The 12,670-nt window shown below is 34.0% G+C and overlaps 1 annotated feature.

Moving 5' to 3' along the window:
- Positions 3,083 to 4,359: an enhancer, noted in NCBI's record as "VISTA enhancer hs605". NCBI's record gives its function as "enhancer in: midbrain (mesencephalon)[7/13]" and the evidence as "EXISTENCE:transgenic organism evidence [ECO:0001131][PMID:17130149]".

Below are 12,670 nucleotides of genomic sequence, written 5' to 3'. Positions count from 1 at the left end.
TGATGCGCAAAATGATTTTCTACATGATTCCCGGGTTTCCAAACTCCTTTTTATTTTCAGGTCTTATTCTTCTCCCCTAGTCTGTGCTCCTCTTCTACCTGACAAGGAAAAACTATTCATATTTCAAGAACAAACTTTTGCAATGATCTCCTTCTCTAACTCCAGCTTCAGTGAAAGTGACTACATGTCTCTAGAATGTGAAAGGATTTAAAAAAAATATATTTAGTGCGTTTCTCCCTATAATTGAACTGTCTTTTTACTGGAAAAAGGATAGGTGTGTGTATGCATGAAAAACTCAAACATCAGGTAGGCTTTTATCCCCATATTCTTAACAAATCTTGGAATGCATCTTATCATTAACACTGGATTAAGATATGTAATCATTTGTATATCTTAAGCTATGTAAGTGTGTAAATCAGCTGTGAGACTACATGTTTCAAATGCTCAGCACAGTACTTGAAACATAGTAAGCATCTTCCTCTTTGTTCAACACTTCGTCCAATGGGAAAGTCTCTAGACTGATATGAAATTAAATAAAGATAATTATAAAATAAAGCCATGACCAAAGAAATGGCTATTCCTAGTAGTAAAACAAAATATATTTAGTGAGTACAATTGAACATATTTCTGCTCACATAAAGAAAATATAACTTCTGTATTTTGTATAAATGATATCCTTTATCTCACTAGACTTGTGGTTAACTTGGGATAGGGGTTGGAGTCAAAGATGTATTTTCAATTTAGCTTCTCATTTCACATTTTTCTTAAAGTTTCAATAGTCCTCTTTTAGGAAAATGCCTCCAAGAAAATGTCCAGATGCTTTGGACTTTCTGTGGCCTCAAGGCAAAGGGAAAGTGAGTCTCAAGTTCCTTATTGTCTCCAAACTGTCCTCTAGAGCTCTGCTTTCTCTGTAGCAGAGGGTCTCTCTGGTCTGATCAGTGGGGCCATTGAGGTGAAGCTAAAAATATATGTGCAGCTTGTTCTCTTGAATCAGTATACAGTGGAATTCCCTTGCTTTAGTAGCTTCCTTTTGGCTTCAAAAAGATCTTCAGACCTGAGTCTCAGCTTCCTTCTTCATCCAGGCTGTGACTGAGATGGTCACATGTGGCCTTTTCAGCAGGATCATTTTGACTCATGCTACAGTGGTCCCCGTTAAGGATGCTAGCTTTCAACTCAGTTACTTTTTGTTTCCCTCTATGACACTAATACATTGCAAAGATTCCTAGGTCTGGCAGGGAGATTTTATTTATAATCCAGCTGCCAGAGCCAGAGGAATACTCACATAGTAAGTAAGGCAAACCGAATTTGTTACTCACAGAGGGGCAGGAAGAATCGGCAAAAGCCTAAGTTCTATGGCAAGCCTGACCCTTGAAAATATGGAAAGAAAATTTCCTGAGGTCAGGAAAGTTGCCCAGGGTGAATGGAGTCTCCTCTGCACATGTCCGACTTTGCACTGCAGCTGAAGAACCCCTAGATGTTGCATCCTAGGTCTTATACCCCACATGCAATTTGGCTCTCTGAGTTTAAGAGTTGCAGGAACGTCCTGTTCTGGGAGCAACGAAGACAAAGCCCAGACTGTTCCAGACAGGTCCTCCTTATCTCAAGATATTGCATTCTTGGAACATTCTAAAATTGTTCTGAGAACTGTGATTAGGAGGCACAGAAAGCTGAGTTGATCAAGGCCGTTCAGATCTTGTCCTCCTGCATACATCACATGGGATTCTTTTCCAACCCTCATGGGAGCCAAAAAAGCATGAGAGTGCTTGTTCTCTTTAAAATTCTGTGCTACGCTTTTCACTCAAGTGCAGCTACCCTGAGTTAGAATAGGGCCATCTGCATATGAATCTTCCCTCAGCATTTCAAATGATGTTTCCAATAAATACCCTCTGCTTTTGGCTTTTATCACCACCCGTCAAATTATACACACACACACACACACACACACGCACACAAACATATAGATGCACACATACACCACAATATACAGGAATTCTGGCCCAGTGAAGGGAGTGAGAACATTTATGTTAGCTTGCTTGATTTAAATACTTATGTTTTCCCTATTCTTCCTATATTTCGCTGGGTTATAAATGTTCTACTTCCTGTAACTATTGGGTAGGTTTGCGTAGGTATTGAGTAGAATTGGGCAGGATTATATCTTCTTTCTGAAGTGGTAGGTGGAAGATGAAAATGTTAAGTTTAGCTTCAATGAAGGACTAGATTCAAAAAGAGAAATTGTCTTACTGTGAAGGGAACACCCATTGAATGACATTTCAAAAATATTGTCTCCATTATATAGGGATGCAAAGTAGTGGAGCTCAATTTATATAAAGGTGACCATGTGATTATGCAGGGAGGCTTTGGATGCTAATGGCATATGGGAATAATAGCACTGCTATCAGTTTTGTCATTAACCTTCTATCTTAGTTCAAGCTACAAACACTGCATACTTAAAAAACAAGCAATCAACAAATAAGCAAACACACATGCAGTCACAGTCAACCTGGAGACTTAGTATTTCTACAGTAGTTTATAGAATTCCTTTTTCAGTTGGCCAAAAAGTGGATAAAAAAGATAGACCCGTATGATGAATGAGCCCTTGAATTATTTTTTGAGCTACATTTTATTATGTATGATACACAGCTACAAAAGGTCACAAGACTAATTAGTGGCAGGCTTATGATAAAAATCCAATGATTTGGACTCACCAAGAATTTTTGTCTAGATAAATTTCTTACTCCTTTCTCTTTAATTTTTTTTCAAATTCACTTATGTACAAGATTAGAATTTTTTTCTTTCATTCATTATCAAAATACTTAACTGCCTACGACCTAACATTATCTATTTGAAAATTTAGTTTCTGTGAGATGAGGCCCCTACAGTAACATCCTATAGAACTTTAGTTTTGTCTTCTTATCTAAATATAGTAATCATAAATAACAATGATTATATCATCTTATATTCTAATTTATGTTTGTTCTATTAAATAATGATTTCATGTAAATAATTTAATAATAATTTATCTCTTACAAACTAGTGACCTTGACATATTTTTTCATAAAAATGTAGAAAGATAATAAGCACTTTCTTTGGATTTAAGCCCTGCTATGGAGAACTCCACTTAAAAATATATTTAATAGCAAATGTTGCTGAATGTCAGAACATATATAGTATATTCATTTTGAAATAAATAATAGGATAATAGGTGTTTTATATATTTGCGTGGGTTGATTGTTGTTACTGGAAGGTAAAATTCTGTATTCATGTTACCATATACATGATCTTATGTGTATAAAAAGAAGAAAAATGAGAAGAAAGAAAAGAAAAACTGATATTGTTGAATTAAATTAGAATATAATTATTACTTCACATCTTCACAAAAGACATTTTGTAACATTTAAGATTTCTGCTAATTGCACAAGGTACATTATCATGCAAAAGAATGTTAGTGAAGGTTGAAAAGGACAAACCAACTATTCTCGTACATCACCATAATTATGCAGCCCCATGTTCGAACAATTACGTTTATGTAGACCCACTGTTAAAATCAATGTTACTTGTACAGCTAGTCCTTAATCAATGAAATCAGTCAATTTACCATCGTCACATCCTTCTTCTTAATTAAGACAGTGATATCTCTAGAGCGCAAGGTCTCAAAGAGATAAATAAGTACAGAGGTTGGGAAATGTCAAAGAGGTGACTCCCCGATTTTACTCCTGACAAACTTGGGAGGAAATAAGACAGTTCCTTAAGCTCAGAGAAGCAGCACAATCGTCTAAAGAGATGGCTTAGCATTCATTAAGAAAAGAGCAGGTAGTGGTGTCTGACAGAAATAGCACTAATGAGCAAAGAAGGTTTTCAACATACATATCCTTCATAGTCATACTCTGAATTATGAAGGTTGTGCCACCTAAGCCAATTTTAATTAGAGTGAGCATGGACCTCTTTGGACAGTTAGCCTTTCTTTCCAAAATCCATTTCAATATGGTGTCATTTTGTTGTCATAATCAAAATGGCAAAGTGATGGAATAACCTACTTAAAATGTCTGTGGTGTTAAAGCAGATATGGCAAACATCCTCTAATGACACATGTAATAAGGGTATTACCTGGAGGACTTTGACAGTATGCTCTCCATTGTCATTGGAGCAGGAATAATGATAGAGGTGACAATAGAGGTCTTCAAAGATCCAGTTTCGACTCTGTCCCACCAATGGACTGTAAAAGTTTCATTTATTGGAAAGAAAGGAAATAGAAAAAAAAAACAGCTCTATTAAAAATAATAAATGTATATCTATTACATTGAATTTTTAAAATTTTCACGAGGCACACTATCATTGTACTTTCACGCTGGTATTAGCCGTCTTCTTCTGTTCTAAGAAAAGCCCTTGCCAGGCCATATGAAAATAAATGAAAAACAATAAATACATAATATTGATATGTTTTCTTAAAAATAGATTTCTCTCTTCACATCATAATTATTCAGATCAAAATAGGGAAAGGAAATTTAAAATAAAAACTTAACTTATTATCCAGACATGATTATATATGAACACAAAGGAGTGATAAACTGCCTGTGTTCCCAGTAGTGGATAACATTGCAAAAACACGTGAAACATTAATGTATAATGATGCTACAAATTTGGAACAAGTAACTTCTATTATATTTACTAGCCTATATTAATTATATATATGCTAGAAAAAATGGTGAGCATGGCTTTTATCAATAAATATTATTACCATAAGTTTTCTTTTTCACTTTTTCTCTTATATTTCATACCAGAAAAAATGCATATATTTTTAAGATGCATGAAATTGGTTGCTCTTAAAAAATGAAAAAAAAGTGCTATCAAATCATTCTTTCTACAAAGCTTTTTCTTTTAAGTTTCATTTTATAACAAAAAGAAAGTGACTGTAAAATTTAGAAACCAAAGTTTTCACACTTTTATTATTAGTTTTAAACTAAATCCATTGTTTTTTCTTAGATCAAGCAATTTTAATTACAGTGTAATTATGAAGCATTAAGTGTCTGGAATAGACTTATTAGGGGTGTCATTCTCTCTGCTAGCAGCAAAAGCCATTCATAAGGAAGGAGCCCTACTAATTAGAAGGTCAGTCATCCCTCCATAAGAATAGTAATATGCATAGGAACTCAAGAGGCCTTACATATAAATATCTAAATAGTGAAAGGGTGATCAGTGGCTAGGATATTTACATAGTAAGAGACTCCAAGTCCTGAGACAACTCTGTTAGATGCTACTAAGTGGCAGGAAGAAAGGAACTATCTGAGTACATTCAGTAGAGTGCACCTGAAGGAAAAGAAGAAAATAAAGCAAGACAGAAAAAGAGTTTTAGCAGTCTGAGTGTGAGATTTAGTGATTAACTAACATAAATTGTTAACGTAGATTAAAAAATGGTTTGTTTTTCTATTCTAGTTATACTTTTTCACTTTTGATCTTCATTGTAAAGATAAGGAATCAGTGGTAATGTAAACTATCTTACACTTAAACCTCTTAATCTCAGGCTGAATACAAAAAGCTTTACTGTCCACTATCAATTATACACATCAGCTTGCGACCTATTAAATGGTTCTGAGGACTTTCATGAGTAGCTACCAACAATGCAGAAAAAAAAAGTGCTTCTAATCTTAGAGCATGCCAAGCTTAAAACTTAATAGTGAATAAACAGATAAGTAAAAGAAAAGAACTTCTGTACTAATCAGAACTTTAAAGCTAGACACTGATAATTAACCCATCACTACCCACCTTCATCATCTAGCAATAGAAGTAGACTAATGTTATTTGCAAATTTAAAGATCCTAAGTGTCTGAAACATAGGATAGGAATGCATTACTCTATTGCACAAAGAAAGGCATACTTAATTGTCAATCAGGTATATTTATGCCAGTAATAAATTCATATTTAAATAATTAATAAAATGCATTGTCAAGTAAAAATCAAATTATAAGCTTTTATAAAATTTAGAGATTTAGAGACATAGCTTCATATTTGATAGTTAGATTGATTATTTTCATTAGAAGCATCATTAGAAAAAATGAAATAAACTAGTTTGTGTACGTTGGGCCCTACTGTGTGCTCAAGTAATGTAATTTCTGAATCCAATTAAAAATGCAGCTTCTGGACTACATCTTTAGACAGGCAGATATTTTAACTTTCTATAGTGGATTTTATTCCTAACTCAAATGAAATCAGCATAAAATGTGTGTGTGTGTGTGTGTGTGTGTGTGTCTGTCACTGTGGTTGAAAAATATTTATTGGATATATTATATATGGATTACTTATCAATTCTGTTCCCAATGGGGAAGGTGTTTTTTGTTTTAAGGTAAATCAAGAAAAAATGTTAAAGAAAACGAAGAGTTACTTTAGGCGAAAAGAGAGATGCCACCCCTCCCCTCCACGCTGCTGAATCATTTTTACCATAAATGTGCAGCAATCATGGGCCAAGCTTGTGGCCATGCAGAAAGGGAATCCTATGGAGCTACTGCTATATAAAAATGGTGCTTATATAGCATTCCTGACTGTTGGATACGACCTCTAAATCTTTCCTTCCACAAAAGTGACAGTTCCTAAGAAAGCCATAGATTTCTAGCATGTAGCTGTTTTAGTCCTGGTCAGGGAGGAAAATGATATTCTCTCTCCCTAAGAAACCTGCTTAGTTGGACTCCTGCCTGCCAGAAGGAGAATAGAGCTGATTATTTCCATCCCTTTCCTTTCTCTTTTTCATCCTGTTTTCTCTTTCATAAATGCACTTGAGGAGTCATTGATTTTTTTGTGAGTATGGAATACAGTACAATAGCACTATATCACCTGGTGCTATAATACCAAATTCTCTTACATTGTATTTCTCTCTGAATAGTCTCTTCCTTTCCCTGTTATTCCAAAGCTTGGTGCCTACACTTTCAGTGAGGATCTGTGTCTAAAGACAATAGGTCAGATTACATAATCCAAGGATACTATTGAAACAGATGCTGACATTATACAATGTTTTTTATTAATAATAACATGAGTAACCATTAAATAATTCTAAGGTCATTTGTTGAGTGTAACCTATGGTCATAATGCACCAGTTGAAAGTACAAGTACAGGGAAGCTGGTTGTTATACCTTTATAGTATAAAAACTATTATGCAGCAAGAAATGGCTGATAGTAGAAAAAAAATTATTCAGACGTTTAAAAGTCAATTCAACATAAAGATAGATATCAGAAATGCATTTTTATAAATTTACTGTCTTGTGTAAGGCCATAATATACAAGAAGGCACAACTATGGAAACACTTAAGAACAGCACTGAAGCAAACTAAAACATCATATCTGTTTTGTTTTAGAGAGACAGGAAATTGTAAATGACTATTTTCCAAACACCATCTGCATTTAGAATACTAAAGAGATGATTTTCTAATAGTAAACTGAGGACTGAAAATAATTAGTGCATCTTACAAATACATCTTAATCATTAGAAATAAGGAAAACCCACCATAACATTTTAAATCTCCCGAAAGAATTCCTTAAGTGGCATACATGACGTTTTTCTGAGTTTTCTGATAGGCAATATTTGCCCAGTGCTGTTGCTGGGGGAATGGTTTGTACATTCATTCTAAATATAAATGCAATATGCTTCACTCCATATAAAATTTAGAAATTTTATATTAGCCCTTATTTAATTCAAATGAGAGAAAAGACATTAAAATTAATAAATATTATGAAGCAAATATGTTAACATAAGCTGTGATGTACATAGGTTATGGGATGAAACTAAAATAGAAAAGAAGAGCCAGCTTCCACCTTTGGCAGCTTTGTGACATCAGACTCACCATTTTACTAGCTCTAAGCCTTGGTTTCTAGTCTGGGCAGTGAGAATGGGGCCTTATAGGATTGTTGTGAGGATCAATGAAATGGACAAGGAAAACTCCCGTTAAGGTAGGTGCTCAATAAGAGGTAGAATAACTAAGCAGAAATGTATTGAAATTATTGTGAAAAAATCATCTGTTGATGCTAGTGTACTATACGAATAAGTATTACTGATAGTTAAGTTTTAAATAATTACAGAGTAAATATTTGTGCAACAGAAATATTCCTTCTAAGTAGGATCTGTTTTATTTATTTAGTCAACAGAAAAAAAGACTTTATAAATCAGGTTGAATTTTTGAATTATCAGAAACTTTGAATATCAGGAATCAAACGAAGCAGTTTAGAACTAACCTGTCTTATTTAGCCTTTTAAGAGCATAGCAATTTAAAATCACTGTGGCAAGGAAAGGAACAATTACAGTGTACATGTTCTATATCCTGGATTCAATGAACCATGGGTTGAAAATATCTGGAAAAAAACAATTAAAAATACCAATACGATAACAAAAAATAATACAAATTCTAAAAACCAGTACACTATAACAACTATTTACATACCATTTACATTGTGTTAATAATTATAAATAATCTAGAGATGATTTAAAGCATAAAAGAGAATATGAGTAGGTTATCTGCAAATACTACACCATTTTATATAAAGGAATTGCGCCTCCATAAATTTTGATATCCACGAGGGTCCTAGACTCAACCCCCTATAGAGACCAAGGGACAACTGTATTTTCAAAGCACTACTGTGTTCAAAATGACGTCTGGCTGCATTCAGCTATCTTCAGTGAAGATGAGGAATAATACAAGTAAATATATAATACACTTGTTTGCATAACATTCCTACAATGTGTTGACAGGCTTTCAAAAAATAAAAAATACTTTCTATCACAAAAGATAAAGAATGAAACAGACTGAATCCACTTAAAGAAGAGAAAGATTCTCTTTGAGATTCAGATTCAGTATTATGTTTAACTATTCTAAATCTATTTGCTTCGGTATTCAGAAGCTTTTGTGATAGGATCAGAAACTGTGAAATGGAAATTGTAGTGATTTAATATTTGGAAAAATTATAATAAATGTAAAAAATAGTCAGGATGTGTTTTCACAGTGCTTTCTGCAAAGAAAGAGAATTAAGAAGAAAAGCCAAGAAAGCTTTGGGGATTAGAGAAGATATTTTCTAAGTTTGAAAGCAGATGTTGTACCATATGTGCTTACCTGTTCTCTTTTTATTCACTTTGGCTGGATCATTACCAACCTGTCCTGTTTTTAATCCAGTAGAATTACTGACTGAATAACCAATTACTTCACCTCTTTATAATTCAGCTAACTATAAAACAATGCTTCTGGAATGGATTATAGGCAAGAAAAGCAAAGAAATGAAATAAAAAATAATATAAACACAATGATTTTTCTATTCATAAAACGGTAAAATATTGTTTAATTAACAGAAACTTTAATTTTTTTTTTACTTACTGTTCTGTCTTATATTGCATGTATTAACAGAGTTATTTAATTCCTTAACATAAAGGGGCTCAAATAAATTATCTTCTCAGGTACATATATGTGATGGATTTTTAAGATTCATGTATATGAAAATGTTAAACACTCAACAGAAATTTATTGTTGAACATGTCCAAAGGCAATAGACATTTTCACTTTTTAAAAACTACTTGTTTCCAAAAAAAAAATCTCAGGATATGGTTCTGTCAGAGTATCTATTTCAAATCACTTTGCCAATAGAGAAATTGTTTCAAGGAAATATACACAAAAAGATCCAATCATAAGCAAAACACCCTTCAGCCAACACATGTGAAACAGTTCTTTAAACTTTTTAAAGTCTTTTTAAAAATTAAGTTATAAAATACATGCCGATAACTGCACAAGTCTTAAGTGTATAGCTTGTTGAATACACATGCAAATAAATCAGTCGACAGAACATGACAGCCCCACAACTGGCCTCCTTGCCATATAGTATCTGTCCCCTTCCAGAACCCCAAAGAAAACCATTATTCTGAGCTTCTATTTTAAAAAAATTATGTGTTTCTGCTTTTTAAATGTAATATAGAGTCATAGAGCATATATTTTTATGCCTGACATTTATCATTCCTCATTATTTTATTTTAAAGTTAGTTTGCCCATCATCCCTCCAAATGTCTCCATTCATCTATACTTATGAAGTCAGACTGAAGACTTGCAGATCTTTTTAAAAATGTAATGCAATTTTGAATAATTTTTCAATTTAAAAAGTCAATAAAAATTTCACATATAATATGAAATAAAACTAATTTATACGAAAATGAAAATATTTTGAAAGACTTGGAAAATGAGTAGGACGTAAAAGCCATATAAGAGATGTTTGAAAACATGAAAAAGACAGGCTATTAAAATTATTTGATGAGGAAAACAAGGATAATCAAAAGTACAGGATATTTATTGATCCAAATGACTCAATGCGTGGACCATCAGCACAGATCAACAGCAGTAGCTGCCTTTGGAAGTTGGCGGAAATGCACTTTTAGGCTCCATCACAGATCTCCTGCATCCAAAATGTGGGTGTGGGGCTCAGCCCACCAGCTGTTTCTGGTCCATACTAAACTGCGAGAAACACAGCTTCTATTCTACACTTTTCAACTCATCAGGTACTTCTGTTTACATCTGCAATTTTTCCTAAAATTATTTCTAATCATCATTCCCAAAACAGTGGATAAATAATCTGTGGCCATGGACTCTTTACACTGACTTTGCCATTTCTCTGTTTTTCAGGTATGCCTTTAGGATTTTGCTTTATTCATACAATAAATATTATTTATTTCTTACTAACTGACAGCCAGTACGTGTATTAGTTTTCTATGGCTTCTAGAAATTACCACAACAAATTTAGTAGCTTGAAATGACACACATTTATTTCCATAAAGTACTGGAGTTCACAAGTTTGAAATCAGTCTCGCAGGACTAAAATTAAGGAGATGGCAGTGATGGCTTCTTCTGAGGTTCTTAAGGGAGAATCTGCTTTCTTGCCTGTTTTCAGCTTCTGGAGGTAGTATGCATTCCTTGGCTCATGGTTTGTTTCATGCATCATGTCAATTTCTTGCTTTCATCATCACATGTTCTACAACTGCTTTTTGACTTTGTTGCCTCCCACTTATAAGAATCTGGGTGATTACATTGGGCCACTAGATAACCCAGGATAATCATTCATCTCAAGACCCCTCAGTTAATCACATCTGTAAAGTCCCTTTTTCCATGGAAGGTAAATATTCACAGATCCTAGGGATGAGGACATGGGCATCTTTGTGAGGCCCTTGTTCTGTCTGCAACACTATGCAAGTGAGCTTATGATCTAGGGAAGTTGGACATTGAGTGAAAAATAACAAAATCTCTTCTCTTCAATTCATTATAAAAGGTTGGTAAGTGATATTGAAAATTATTCTTTATGTAGCTGAGTTTTAACTACTTAAACAAATAAAAATATTGAGCAGAGATGGAAAAATTAATACGTTTGTTGTTAATTCTTCCCACTCATAGGTATTTGCAGCCACTGTATTCTAGGTACTGCTCTTGTGATGCTTAGTCTATTGAGGTTTACAGAGACTGGTTACAGAGTATGAAAATACCATTGTAGGAGACAGCCAAGGTACATAAAGAAGACAGCAAAAGTACATAAAGCTATGTGTGATTTCCTATAAAACTTACTAAATGTGAGAGCTAAGTGGAGCAAAAGCTCACCTGAAATCTGAAACAGAAATATGTGTCGTGGGAGCATTTTAAAAATGAGAATAGCATGTTGTAGGAGTCTTGGTACTAGGAAGCTGACTGTGTTCTAAAAATTTCAAGTACTCAGATAAATGGAGCTTACCAGGTAAGATGGGAAGTGGTGAAATGATGCTAGAGAGCTAAGCAGTTGCTATAAAGATCCAATAAAATAAATAAGAAATTCAAACTTTAAGCGGAGGACTAACATGATAATTTAAGCATGGGAAAGACATACTGACATTTACATTATGAAAGATAATTTTGGCTAGCGTGTAAAGAGAAGATTAAAATGTAACAAGTTCAGCTGGGTGTGGTGCCTCATGCCTGTAATCCCAGCACTTTTGGAGGTCCAGGTGGGATGATCACTTGAGGCCAGAAATTCAAGACCAGCCTGGACAACAGATAGAGACCCTCTCTCTACAAAAAGTTAAAAAAAAAAATTAGTCTGGCATGGCGGTGCATGCCTGTAGTCTTAGGTACTCAGAAGGCTAAGATGGGAGAATCACTTGAGCCCAGGAGTTCAAGGTTGCAGTGAGCTTTGATTCTTTCATTGCACTCCAGTCTGGGACACAGAGTGAGGCTCTGTCTCAAATAAACAAATAAAAATAACAACAAGAACATGTGGCAAGTTAATACATGGATAGTCTCTTGAATCAATCTAAGTGAGAGATAAACAAATTCTGAACTATAATAGCAATGGTGAAATTAGGGTACAGCAGGTGGGAAAATATATACATTCAGCAGCTAGAATTGACAGAATTCTATTTTGGATGGACTATATGATGAAAAAGATAAGTCAGAAGTGAAGTGTAGATTTGTTGCATAAGGATCCAAATACATGATGATGTTCTTAGTTAATATATGAAACAGAGGAAGAATGAAAATTTTTGAGAGAAAAGATGGCATAATGCTTGCTCTGAGTGCACATTGTACTCGGACACTCGTTCAGCTAATATACCTTCTAATTATTAGTCTTCCCTGATTTCACTCCGGGAAGTCTTTCATTGTTTGCAGTCTCAGTACTTTTTCCTTTGTTCTTTCTTCTT

This window comes from Homo sapiens, chromosome 12 (genome assembly GCF_000001405.40).
Source record: "Homo sapiens chromosome 12, GRCh38.p14 Primary Assembly".
NCBI classification, from domain to species: Eukaryota; Metazoa; Chordata; class Mammalia; order Primates; family Hominidae; genus Homo; species Homo sapiens.
This window is presented reverse-complemented; position numbering and strand designations above follow the sequence as displayed.